The sequence below is a fragment of the Homo sapiens genome, chromosome Y (genome assembly GCF_000001405.40).
Source record: "Homo sapiens chromosome Y, GRCh38.p14 Primary Assembly".
NCBI lineage: Eukaryota > Metazoa > Chordata > Mammalia > Primates > Hominidae > Homo > Homo sapiens.
Window position 1 is genome coordinate 318902 of NC_000024.10, and position 13641 is coordinate 332542.

At 60.3% G+C, this 13641-nt stretch overlaps 1 long non-coding RNA gene across 2 annotated transcripts; it reads left to right on the forward strand.

Annotated features, from left to right (window-relative positions):
- On the forward strand, positions 244 to 2431 carry LINC00685 (long intergenic non-protein coding RNA 685). Of its 2 annotated transcripts, NR_027231.1 has the most exon segments (2): positions 244 to 650; positions 1307 to 2431. It is a non-coding gene; the product is annotated as a long intergenic non-protein coding RNA 685 (long non-coding RNA).

The following is a 13641-nucleotide window of genomic DNA, read 5'->3' on the forward strand; positions in this document are numbered from 1 at the left end:
GGCCGTGCTCCTCATTGGTCATCCGGCGTCACGTGCTAGTGATTGGCGTGCAGCTGGGGCGTGCTCACCAGCGCCTCTCCGCAGCATAGGGCGTGATCCTCATTGGTCATCCCTTGTCACGTGCTGGTGATTGGCGTGCGGCCGGGGCGGGCTCCCTAGCGCCGCGCCCCGGCAGGGCGTGCTCCTCATTGGTCGCCCCGCATCAGGTGCTGGTGATTGGCACGCGCTGCCGGCGGGGGAGGCGGGACCGGGCCGCTTCTTGTTCGGCGTGGGCGGCTCCTGGCAGACCCATCCCGCGGTGCAGCCGCCGGCCCGGTAGGCGCCAGGACCCCGAGCCTCGGCGGCGGCGGCGGCGGCGGCAGCGCTGCCTTCACTCACCTCGTCCTCGCTCCCGTCCTACCCCGTTCCGCGCTGGGTGGAGTCCAAGTCTGATTGCGAGAGTCCGGAACGCCGCCTCGGGGGCTTGACTCCAGCCCCGGGGATCGAGAACGGCGCCCAGGGGTCCCTACGTCTGCCTTGGGGGCTCGAGTCCCGCCCTGGGCGTCCGTGACGTCGCCCAGGGGTCTCCACGTCTGCCCTGGAACCTGGAGAGCCGCCGTGGGGGCCCCGGAAGCTGCCCCGGAGTCCCCACGTCTGCCCTGGGGGCTCGAGTCCAGCTCTCAGGGTCCCGGACGCCACCCAGGGGGTCCCCATGTCTGCTTTGGGGGCTCGAGTCCAGCCATGGGGGTCCTGGACGCCGCCTCGGCGTCCCCGCGTCTGCCTTGGGGGCCCGAGTCCCGCCCTGGGGGTCCTGGACGCCGCCTCGGCATCCCCGCGTCTGCCTTGGGGGCTCGAGTCCCGCCCTGGGGGTCCCCGATGCCGCCCGGGGGTCCTCACGTCTACCTTGGAGACTGGAGTTCCCCCGTGGGAGTCTCGGACGCCACCCCGGAGTCACCGTGTCTAGCCTTGGGGGCTTGAGTCCAGCCCTGGGGGTCCTGGACGTCGCCGAGGAGCCCCCACGTCTGCCTTTGGGGCTTGAGACCTGCTCTGGGGGTCCCGGTCGCCGCCCAGGTGGGTCCCCACGTCTAGCCTTGGGGGCTTGAGTCCAGCCCTGGGGGGCCCGGATGCCGCCCGGGGGTTCTCCTCGTCTGCCTTGGGGGTTGGGTCCAGCCCCAGGCGTCCTGACCACCGCCCAGGGGCCCCCACGTCTGCCTGGGGGCCTCAAATTCAGTCCTGGGGGTCCCGGACGCCTCCCAGGGGTCTTCATGTCTGCCGTGGGCCTCGAGTCCAGCCGTGAGGGTCCCGAATGCTGCCTTGGAGGGTGGAGTCCAGCTCTGAGGGTCCTGAAGTCAGCTTTGGGGGTTCGAACCCATCCATCCCAGGGGTCCCTGAGTCTACATTAGGGGCTGGAGTCCAGCCTTGAGGGTCTCCACTGCTGCCTTGGGGGCCTGGATGGGATCCAGCGGGTCTGAGTCCAGCCTCGGGAGCCCCTGCGGTGGAGCTCTGAGTGGGGCAGGGGCCTGGGAGATGCCAGGAGGATGAGAGCGGCGCCCCCCTGGTCCAGGGGACAGTAAGAGGCAGCCGGTCTCAGAGAAGCTACCCCAAAACTGTTACCCGTGGTGTGCAGAGCGTCCTGCAACCCCAGCCCTCACCAGGATTTCTTGCGTTTTTCAGGAAATCGGTTGTGATTGGCATGTTCCTTAAGCGTCTGCAGGAAGCCGAGGCCTTTTTGGTATTTCAGGAGGGGTTGCTAACCCCCCTCCTTGTAGGATCGGGGTATCCCAGCTGCTAATTCCCCTCCTAACAGCCCTGCAGCGCCTGGATTGGAGGTGTGACAGGTGGCATTTTTGGCCCGAAGTCCCTAGGCAGGACGGGTGGCTGTAGCCTGCGCGTTTGTGTAAATTAACCTCCCTTTTTAGTTCTGTGAAGGGAGAACGTGATTAGTTTAAAATCACCTGCGTGAAAGAGGCTCTTGATTAGTTTAAAATCACCCACGTGAAAGGGGCTCTTGATTAGCTTAAAATCACCTGGGTGTTTCGTTTTATCTCAGTTGGCCTCTGAATGTTTATCCTACAGCTTCCTGCAAGCTCCAGTCTACCTTCTAAGGGAATAACGGGGCTCGTCTTTCTACGTTACTTTATGTGGGAGTAGTTGTAAAACAGAATGAGGGAGACCGCGGGGATTGTGCGGAAATGTAGCCACCGTTTACATGTCGGGAGGCTGAGGTGGGAGGATCGCTTGAGCCCAGGAGTTTGACACCAGCCTGGGCAACATGGTAAGACCCCTTCTCTACCCTCCCCCCCAAAAAAAAAATTTTAGTGTGGCATGGTGGTGGGTGCCTGTGGTCCCAGCTACTCGGGACGCTGAGGTGGGAGGATTGCTTGAGCCCAGGAGTTTGACACCAGCATGGGCAATATGGTAAGACCCCATTATCTACAAAAAAAAAAAAAAAAAAAGAAAAGAAAAATTAGCCGGGCGTGGTGGTGGGTGCCTGTGGTCCCAGCTGCTCGGGACGCTGAGGTGGGAGGATTGCTTGAGCCCAGGAGTTTGACACCAGCATGGGCAATATGGTAAGACCCCATTATCTACAAAAAAAAAAAAAAAAAAGAAAAGCCGGGCGTGGTGGTGGGTGCCTGTGGTCCCAGCTGCTCGGGACGCTGAGGTGGGAGGATTGCTTGAGCCCAGGAGTTTGACACCAGCATGGGCAATATGGTAAGACCCCATTATCTACAAAAAAAAAAAAAAAAGAAAAGCCGGGCGTGGTGGTGGGTGCCTGTGGTCCCAGCTGCTCGGGACGCTGAGGTGGGAGGATTGCTTGAGCCCAGGAGTTTGACACCAGCATGGGCAATATGGTAAGACCCCATTATCTACAAAAAAAAAAAAAAAAGAAAAGCCGGGCGTGGTGGTGGGTGCCTGTGGTCCCAGCTGCTCGGGACGCTGAGGTGGGAGGATTGCTTGAGCCCAGGAGTTTGACACCAGCATGGGCAATATGGTAAGACCCTATTATCTACAAAAAAAAAAAAAAAAAAAAAGAAAGAAAAATTAGCCTGGTGTGGTGGTGGGTGCCTGTGGTCCCAGCTGCTCGGGACGCTGAGGTGGGAGGATTGCTTGAGCCCAGGAGTTTGACGCCAGCATGGGCAATATGGTAAGACCCTATTATCTACAAAAAAAAAAAAAAAAAAAAAAGAAAGAAAAATTAGCCTGGTGTGGTGGTGGGTGCCTGTGGTCCCAGCTGCTCGGGACGCTGAGGTGGGAGGATTGCTTGAGCCCAGGAGTTTGACACCAGCATGGGCAATATGGTAAGACCCCATTATCTACAAAAAAAAAAAAAAAAAAGAAAAGCCGGGCGTGGTGGTGGGTGCCTGTGGTCCCAGCTGCTCGGGACGCTGAGGTGGGAGGATTGCTTGAGCCCAGGAGTTTGACGCCAGCATGGGCAATATGGTAAGACCCTATTATCTACAAAAAAAAAAAAAAAAAAAAAAAAAGAAAGAAAAATTAGCCTGGTGTGGTGGTGGGTGCCTGTGGTCCCAGCTGCTCGGGACGCTGAGGTGGGAGGATTGCTTGAGCCCAGGAGTTTGACGCCAGCATGGGCAATATGGTAAGACCCTATTATCTACAAAAAAAAAAAAAAAGAAAGAAAGAAAGAAAAATTAGCCTGGTGTGGTGGTGGGTGCCTGTGGTCCCAGCTGCTCGGGACGCTGAGGTGGGAGGATCACCTGAGCCCAGGAGGTGGAGGCTGCAGTGAGCTTAGATTGCAGCACTGTGCTCCAGCCTGGGTGACAGAGTGAGACCCCATCTCAAACAAGAAGCACCAAAAGGTGTCTGAGATCAGGCACGGTGGCTCACGCCTGTCATTCCAGCACTTTGGGAGGCCGAGGTGGGTGGATCACCTGAGGTCAGGCATTTGAGACCAGCCTGGCCAACATGGAGAAACACTGACTCTACTAAATGTGCAAAAATTAGCCGGGCGTGGTGGCACACACCTGTAGTCCCAGCTACTCCAGAGGCTGAGGTAGGAGAATTGCTTGAACCTGGGAGGTGGAGGTTGCAGTGAGCTGAGATTGTACCACTGCACTCCAGCCTGGGAGCTGAGATTGTACCACTGCACTCCAGCCTGGGCCCTAAAGCGAGAGCTTGACGGTGGGGTGGGGGTGTGGGATGGACCTTCTGTGGTCCCAGCTACTCGGGAGGCTGAGGTGGGAGGATCGCTTGAGCCCAGGAGTTTGACACCAGCATGGGCAACATGGTAAGAACCCATATCTACAAAAAAAAAATTTAAAAATTAGCCGGGTGTGGTGTGTGGGTGCCTGTGGTCCCAGCTACACCACGAGTGGAATTGTGACGTGCACAGCCTGGGTAAATGGGGTTAGCTATATTCACCCTGAAGGGGGCACATACCCTATTATTTCTAACACCACTGAACTCAGAATCGGGACCCAGATTCGCCGGGGCAGCGCGGGACGAGGCCTCTCCCGGGCTCCGTCTTCCCTGTTAATAGACTGAGAGACGGAATGAGAGCTTCGAAGGTGCTGGGGGAGGAGCATTGGGTGTCCCCAGGTGGTGAGCTTGGGTGTGTGTGTGTAGCCGACAGTCTCCCAGGCTCAGTATTCCCTGTTAATAGACTGAGAGACGGAATGAGGGCGTCCCCAGGTGGTGAGCTCAGGGACGTGTGTGTGTGTGTGTGTGTGTGTGTGTGTGTGTGTGTGTGTGTAGCCGTCAATCTCCTGGGCTCCTGGGTTCCGTCTGCCCTGTTCATAGAGACAGAATGAGGGCGTCCCCAGGTGGTGAGCTCAGGGACGTTGTGTGTGTGTGTGTGTGTGTGTGTGTGTGTGTGTGTGTGTGTAGCCGTCAATCTCCTGGGCTCCTGGGTTCCGTCTGCCCTGTTCATAGAGACAGAATGAGGGCGTCCCCAGGTGGTGAGCTCAGGGACGTGTGTGTGTGTGTGTGTGTGTGTAACCATCAATCTCCTGGGCTCCTGGGTTCCGTCTGCCCTGTTCATAGGGATGGAATGAGGGCGTCCCCAGGTGGTGAGCTCAGGGACGTTGTGTGTGTGTGTGTGTGTGTGTGTAACCATCAATCTCCTGGGCTCCTGGGTTCCGTCTGCCCTGTTCATAGAGACGGAATGAGGGCGTCCTCAGGTGGTGAGCTCAGGGACGTGTGTGTAGCCATGATTATCCTTTAGTACCTGGTCCCCGTGCCCTCCAAGCCATCCAAGGGCTTCAGGAGGCCGCGCAGAAGGAGGGTCGGTAAGCGAGTCCACGGACCACCACGCAGGCCCTGACCCCGCCAGGGGCCCTTTGGAGGGTGAGCCCTGCGTGTTGGGGGGATGATGGCTCCGGAGGGTGAGCTCTGGGATGAGAGGGGACGTGCAGGTGGCCGCATTGCAGACACAGCTGGCTCGGGACCTGGGCGCCATCTGCCGTCGACTCAGCTCGCTCCTGAGCTGTGCCTCTTCCTTGCCTCACGTTGGAGATAAAAAGCCATAGATGGCCGGGGGCGGTGGCTCAGGCCTGTCATCCCAGCACTGTGGGATACCAGCGCAGGAGGGTTGCCTCAGCTCAGGGGTTCGAGACCAGCCTGGCCAGCATAGCGAGACCCTCTTCTCTGTAACAATTTTTTTTTCTTTTCTTTTTTTTTTTTTTGAAACAGAGTCTCGCTCTGTCACCCAGGCTGGACTGTAGTGGTATGATCTCAGCTCACGGAAACCTCTGCCTCCCGGGTTCCCGGGTTCAAGTGATTCTCCTGCCTCAGCCTCCCGAGTAGCTGGGATTACAGGCAGCTGCCACCATGCCTGGCTAAATTCTGTATTTTTAGTAGAGACGGGGTTTCTCCATGTTGGTCAGGCTGGTCTTGAACTCCCGACCTCAGGTGATCCGCCCACCTCGGCCTCCCAAAGTGCTGGGATGACAGGCGTGAGCCACCGCGCCCGGCCTCTTTCAGGTTTTTATATGTAACTTTGCCACTCAGTCGGTACTGAAGCCGTTATGGAGGCCTGCCTGGTGAGATGCGGCTGCCACAGTGTGGCTGGTATTCGAAACACACAGGAGGCCGCAGCCAGCTTAGCAGAAGCACCAGGGCTTTCGGAACTTGGTTTTGAGAGTTTCCTGTTTTCTTGACTTTCATATACCATGGATGGTAATAACTGTTGGGGGGAAAAAGCTATTAAAGATTCCTGTGGATGGTGAGATGACCTTGGTTTCAGAAACACCCAGACACAGAGAATTGTGCATTTTAGAATCCAATAAATCTACGCTGGGCACGGTGGCTCATGCCTGTCATCCCAGCACTTTGGGAGGCCGAGGTAGGTGGATCACCTGAGGTCAGGAGTTCGAGACCAACCTGGCCAACATAGTGAGAACCTGTCTCTACTAAAAATACAAAAAATTAGCGGGGCGTTGTGGCAGGTGCCTGTAATCCCAGCTGCTCTGGAGGCTGAGGTGGGAGAATTGCTTGAACCCGGGAGGCAGAGGTTGCAGTGAGCTGAGACCATGCTGCTGTACTCCAGCCTGGGTGACAGGGCGAGGCTCCATCTTAAAAAAAAAAAAATCTGATCATTTACCTGTGCACCTTCACAAGTGTTTAAAAAAAAAAAAAAACCGGGCACGGTGGCTCACGCCTGTCATCCCAGCACTTTGGGAGGCTGAGGTGGGTGGATCACGAGGTCAGGAGATCGAGACCATCCTGGCTAATTCGGTGAAACCCCGTCTCTACTAAAAATACAAAAAATTAGCTGGGTGTGGTGGAAGGTGCCTGTAGTCCCAGCTGCTCAGGAGGCTGAGGCGGGAGAATGGCGTGAACCCAGGAGGCGGAGCTTGCAGTGAGCTGAGATTGCAGCACTGCACTCCAGCCTGGGTGACAGAGCCAGACTCTGTCTCAAAAAAAAAAAAAAAAGATTGGGTTGATATTTTACCTACTATAATCTTATATGTTTGCAATTTCCTGTCATTGAGTTTTATAACTTTCTGCCCTTTGCTGACAAAAACATTTAAAATGTCTCATGGCAGCTTGTGTTCTTAAAATTCAAACTGTTTATCCATAGCCCTTGAGAGAAGGGTTTAATGTGAGTTGGTTGGGAGTGACCGTTGTCTGTTTTTTTGAGACAGAGTGTCGCTCGCTCGCCCAGGCTGGAGTGTAGTGGCGCGATCTCGGCTCACTGCAAACTCTGCCTTCCAGGTTCAAGTGATCCTTCTGCCCCAGCCCTCCAGCTAGCTTGGATTACAAACATGCACCACCACACCTGGCTAACTTTTGTATTTTTGGTAGAGACAGCGTTTTACCACGTTGGCCAGGCTGGTCTCAAAATCCTGAGCTCAAGGGATCCGCCTGCCTCAGCCTCCCAAAGTGCTGGGATTACAGGCGTGAGGCACGACGTCAGGCCAAGGGGGTGGCTGTTTTATAACAGGTTTGCAAGTTTGTTTTTGTTTTTGTTTTTCTTTTTTTTTGAGGTGGAGTTTTGCTCTTGTTCCCCAGGCTGGAGTGCAATGGCAAGATCTCGGCTCACTGCAGCCTCTGCCTCCGGGGTTCAAGGGATTCTCCTGCCTCAGCCTCTCGAGTAGCTGGGATTATAGGCACCTGCCACCATGCCTGGTTAATTTTGTATTTTTAGTAGAGATAGGGGTTTTTCCGTGCTGGCCAGGCTGGTCTCAAACTCCCGAACTCAGGTGATCCACCCGCCTCGGCCTCCCAAAGTGCTGGGATTACAGGCGTGAGCCCCCGTGCCCAGCCAGGGGGTTGCTGTTTTATAATAGGTTTGCAAGTTTGTTTTTTGTTTTGTTTTGTTTTGTTTTTTTGAGACGGAGTTTTGCTCTTGTTGCCCAGGCCGGAGTGCAATGGCACAACCTTGGCTCACTGCAACCTCCGCCTCCCGGGTTCAAGCTATTCTCCTGCCTCAGTCTCCTGAGTAGCTGGGATTACAGGCGTCCGCCACCACACCCGGCCAAGGGGGTGGCTGTTTTATAACCAGTTTGCAAGTTTGTTTTTCTCGTGTGTTAGAGGAAAATCTCTTCATGATATGGTGAAGCCGTCGTCTGTTTTGGAAGACGGTGGCCAGGAAAATGGTGGTAAGTTCTCCTGAAAGCAAACGCAGAAGGAAATAAAAATGACTGACAATTAGATCGTACAAAGATGAGCATTGTTTTTATTTATTTTTTTTGAGACGAAGTCTTGTTCTGTCACCCAGGCTGGAGTGCAATGGCACGATCTTGGCTCACTGCAACCTCCGCCTCCCAGGTTCAAGTGATTCTACTGCCTCAGCCTCCTGAGAAGCTAGAATTACAGGCATGCTCCACCACTACCCAGCTAGTATTTGTAGTTTTAGTAGAGACGGGATTTCACCATGTTGGCCAGGCTGGTCTCGAACTCCTGACCTCAGGTGATCCACCCACCTCGGCCTCCCAAAGTGCTGGGATGACAGGCGTGAGCCACCGTGCCCCGGCCCCGGATTCTATTTCTTAAACTGCAGGAAATACTAAATACTTTACATGCGTATGTTTCTCATTTCATTTTCCTACAGGAATTGGAGAGTGAGTTGCTGAGATTTCATTTTTATTCTCTTGGTCCTCATCATGCAAATGGCTAAATGGTTTTTTTTTGAAACAGGGTCTTGCTCTGTCCCCCAGGCTGGAGTGCAATGGGGCGATCTCGGCTCACTGCAACCTCTGCCTCCCGGGTTCAAGCCATTCTCCTGCCTCAGCCTCCCGAGTAGCTGGGATCACAGGTGCGCACCACCGTGTCCGTCTGATTGTTAAATTTTTCCTAGAGACGAGGTTTTGCCACGTTGCCCAGGCTGGTCTCAAACTCCTGAGCTCAGGTGATCCCCCCACCTCGGCCTCCGAAGGCGCTGGGCTTCCAGGCGTGCAGAGGGCTCTTTGTCTACATCCGTCACTGGATTTTCTACCCACGGGGACATGTGACCCCAGCGAGGTGGTCGGGGAGTCGTCGCCGGCCAGCGCTGCAGCCCAGGGATGATGACGGCTCTAGGAGTTTGGTTGTGGAGCACAGATGCCGGCGGTGTGGGCACGAGGCCCTGCACCTGCGTTTCTCCTGCACGGGCCCCGGAACCCCGGGATGGGATCTCTGTGGAGTGATCACGTCAGTGGGCTCTCGGCGAGGCTGGCGGGTGGGAGTCGGCGGCATCCGGGCTGGGCCCCCGAGGCTTGGCTCCCTCTCTGCACCCCAGGGGTCCCACAGGCTGGTGACAGCGCGACTGAAGGCCACGCTGCAGTCAGGAGGCCGCCCCACGTGTGACCCCGGGTCTTCCCACCCCGCCCTGACCCAGGGTCCTGGCCTTCCACGTGTGACCCTGGTTCCGGCACCTGTCCCCGCCCCCCCATCCTGTTCCCCTCCTCTCTCCCTGCCCCCCCTCCCCTCTCCCCGCCCCCCCTCCCCTCTCCCCGCCCCCCTCCCCTCTCCCCGTCCCCCTCCCCTCTCCCCGTCCCCCCTCCCTCTCTCCCCGTCCCCCCTCCCTCTCTCCCCGTCCCCCCTCCCCTCTCCCCGCCCCCCCGTCCCCCCTCCCCTCTCCCCGTCCCCCCTCCCCTCTCCCCGTCCCCCCTCCCCTCTCCCCGTCCCCCCTCCCTCTCTCCCCGTCCCCCCTCCCTCTCTCCCCGTCCCCCCTCCCTCTCTCCCCGTCCCCCCTCCCTCTCTCCCCGTCCCCCCTCCCCTCTCCCCGCCCCCCCGTCCCCCCTCCCCTCTCCCCGTCCCCCCTCCCCTCTCCCCGTCCCCCCTCCCCTCTCCCCGTCCCCCCTCCCTCTCTCCCCGTCCCCCCTCCCTCTCTCCCCGTCCCCCCTCCCCTCTCCCCGCCCCCCCATCCCCCCTCCCCTCTCCCCGCCCCCCCTCCCCGTCCCCCTCCCCTCTCCCCCTCCCCCCTCCCCGCCCCCCTCCCCTCTCCCCCTCCCCCCTCCCCGCCCCCCTCCCCTCTCCCTGCCCTCCCCTCTCCCTGCCCCCCCTCCCTGCCCCCCTCCCCTCTCCGCCCCACCTCTCCCCTCCCCCCTCCCCCTCCTCTCTCCCCCCTCCCCCTCCTCTCTCCCCCTCCCCCCCTCTCTCCCCCTCCCCCTCCTCCTCCTCTCTCCCCCTCCCCCCTCCCCCTCCCCTCTCCTCTCTCCCCGCCCCCCTCCCTCTCTCCCCGCCCCCCTCCCTCTCTCCCCGTCCCCCTCTCCTCTCTCCCCGTCCCCCTCTCCTCTCTCCCCGTCCCCCCTCCTCTCTCCCCGTCCCCCCTCCTCTCTCCCCGTCCCCCCTCCTCTCCCCGTCCCCCCTACTCTCCCCGTCCCCCCTCCCTCTCTCCCCGTCCCCCCTCTCCCCGTCCCCCCTCCCCCTCTCCCCGTCCCCCCCTCCCCCTCTCCCCGTCCCCCCCTCCCCCTCTCCCCGTCCCCCCCTCCCCCTCTCCCCGTCCCCCCCTCCCCCTCTCCCCGTCCCCCCCTCCCCCTCTCCCCGTCCCCCCCTCCCCCTCTCCCCGTCCCCCCCTCCCCCTCTCCCCGTCCCCCCCTCCCCCTCTCCCCGTCCCCCCCTCCCCCTCTCCCCGTCCCATCTCTCCCTTGAGTCCTTGGGTGGTCCTGGCCGCACGCCTACCTGGCGGCCCCATCCGTCCCTTCAGGGCAGGGACAGCCGATGCCCCGCACCTCCCCCATCGCTTTTCTGCCTCTGCCCCCTCCCCACATAGGCCTGGCGTCCCCTGGACTCCTGTAGGCCGAGCTGTAGTCTTAAGAAGTGTGTCCCGCAGCCCTAAAAGGTTGGGGTACCCTCCGGCCGTCATGTTCTGGGCACCCTATAGTCCTAAAGGGTCAGGGCACCCCATGGCTGTCATGTTTAGAGTACCCCGTAGTCCTAAAGGATTGGGGCACCCCACATCCCCGGTGTTCAGGGCACGTCATAGTCCTAAAAGGTCGGGGTACCCCTGGATGAGGGGCGGTCAGGAGGGTCAGGGCCTGGGTGGACATCCTGTCATCCTACCCTGTGGGCTATGCCCTGTGTCCCTGACTCTGACATTGGGTGAGGTGAGGACGGGGCAGGTTTCCATGGTACATTTATTTATTTTTTGAGACGGAGTCTCGCTCTGTCGCCCAGCCTGGAGTGCAGTGGTGTGATCTCGGCTCCCTGCAAGCTCCGCCTCCCGGGTTCATGCCATTCTCCTGCCTCAGCCTCCCGAGTAGCTGGGATCACAGGCGCCCGCCACCACGCCCGGCTAATTTTTTGTATTTTTAGTAGAGACGGGGTTTCACCATGTTGGCCAGGCTGGTCTCTAACTCCTGACCTCGTGATCCGCCTGCCTCGGCCTCCCAAAGTGCTGGGATGACAGGCGTGAGCCCCTGTGCCTGGTGGGACCCCAGTTTTCTATTAAAAAAAGGCCGGGCGCGGTGGCTCACACCTGTCATCCCAGCATTTTGGGAGGCCGAGGCGGGTGGATCACTTGAGGTCAGTTGTTTGAGACCATCCTGGCCAACATGGAGAAACCCCGTCTCAACTGAAAATACAAAAATTAGCCGGGCGTGGTGGTGGCGGGCGCCTGTGATCCCAGCTACGCGGGAGGCTGAGGCAGGAGAATCGCTTGAACCCAGAAGGCAGAGGCTGCAGTGAGCCGAGATCGCACCATGGCAGTCCAGCCTGGGCGACAAACAGAAAACAGGCACAGCATAGAGTCTGCCTTTCTGGAATCGCTATAGCTAGGGGGCTGCCTCCCTAAGCCCCACTTCTCTGAGTCTCCTGCAAGGTTTGTGTGAGTGCCTGGGGGCCGAGGCCCTGGCGAGGAGGATGGGGGCTCGGGGGCCTCTGTGACCTGGGGGAGGGGCTGTCGCGTCCCCCTGTGGTCGCGTCCCCCTGTGGTCGCGTCCCCCTGTGGTCGCACCTGTGGGCTGTCGGCCGTAGGTACCGCTCAGGCCCGTCCTGGTTGCGGGGCAAGGGCCTGTGTGTTGGGGGCTGAGAGACGGGGCCTAGAAGCCCTGTTGTGGGGAGGCCTGTGGGGGGCTTGTCCAAGCGGGACCTCCTATCCCTGCACCACTGGGGTCGTCCCCCCCGACGGGGCCTCGTCCCCCCCATGGCTGCTCCGTGAGGTCAGGCAGCGCCGCGCTAGGGAGATGGGGTGGCCCTGTCCCCGCAGAGGGGCTGTTCTCTGGGGCAGAGGCGGGCAGGACCCCCCGCCTTGTGGTCAGGACCCCCCTCCTTGTGGTCAGGACCCACTCGTGGCGGCCGGGGCTGCTGCGGGAGCTGATACCGGGGTGGAGACAGCTACGCCATGGTGAGGACACGGGGCCGGGGGAGGCTGCAGCCGACGGCCAGGCCCCCGTGCGGAAGACCCGGGGCAGCCCCCGCCTAGGAGCTGCGCAGACACGTCCTGGGGCCGCTGTTTCACCGAGACCCGAACGGCTGCTCCCCAGGCTCTGAGTGGCGTGTGCGGCAGCCAAGGCTGGGGGAGCTGTGACTTCTACACGGCGCCAGGGCGCAGGGATCCCTGCTGTGCCAGGGTCTGCCCGTGGGTCATGGGGAACGTGGTTCGAGGCCCCTCTGCTGTAGCCACGCAGCAGCGTCTTGCCGGGTGCGTGGCCTTGTCTGCAGGCTTGAGACCCAGCGGGGCCGTCTGTGCCACGTGGGGTCTGCGCCGGCCCAGGGGCCGCACCGCTGTCAGCCACAGGATGTGTGTCTCGGGGCTGCGGCAGACGGGGCTTCTGTGCCGTGTGGGGTCCGACCCCTCGGCCTGGGCAGGGCGGCCCGTGGGCACCGTGCTGGGGACGACCTCCGGCCTCTGCTCCTTCCCCGGCTCTGAGTCATAAAGGCCTCCCGCTCCCCCGGGAGCCGTGTCTTCTCTAGGAACTGCTGAGCGCGGCTGGGTCTGGCTCTGCCTCATTCCTGCATCTGATGCCCGCCCGTTCTCCCCCAACTCCCCTTTCTCCATCTCCTCCCTCCCCTCCGTCTTGCCCGTCTCCATTTCCTCCATCTCTCCCTTCTCCGTCTCCTCCGTCTCGTGGCTGTCCAGACCCCGTCCCTCCGCAGGCTGGGTCCCCCCTTGTTCTGGGCGGGGCTCTCGGTGCCGGTCTGGTGCCAGTGCTGGGAACCTGTGGTGCCCGTCACCTCTGCTCCCCGTCACCTCGGCTCCACCTCGAGGAGCTGTGTCCTGTCCCACGAGGAGGCGCCCCGGGACCTCAGGGCTGCAGGCCATGGCTGGGTCCGGCTTTGCCTCATCCCCTGTATCTGAGGCCCCCCAGTTCTCCCCCATCTCCCCCTCTCCATCTCCTCTGTCTCCCCCGTCTCATGGCTCTCCGGGCCCCGTCCCCCCCACCAGGCTGGGTCCCCTTATTCTGGGTAGCCCGTCTTGCCATCACTGTCCCTGCCGCCCCTCAGGACAGCGCTGTGGATGCCGGTCTGGTGCCGGCGGTCACCCCTGCTGCGCCTTGAGCAGCTGTGTCTTGTCCCGTGAGGAGGTGCCCCGGGACCTCAGGGCTGTGGCTGGCACCTTTCATGGTCCTCCCGGAACAGAGCTCATGCTGCTGCTCCTGGGTGGACCCGGGGCTGCCCCTGTGAACACTCTTGGTTCTGACACGAAGGCACCCCGTGAGGGAGGGGAGGGGTGGGCTGGGTCGGGTCCCTGCTCGGGGATCTCCAAGGGGTGACGGCCACGAAGTGCGGGGGACCCACGATTGTCATTCAGAGGGTGAGGCGCTGAGCCCTGGAACATCC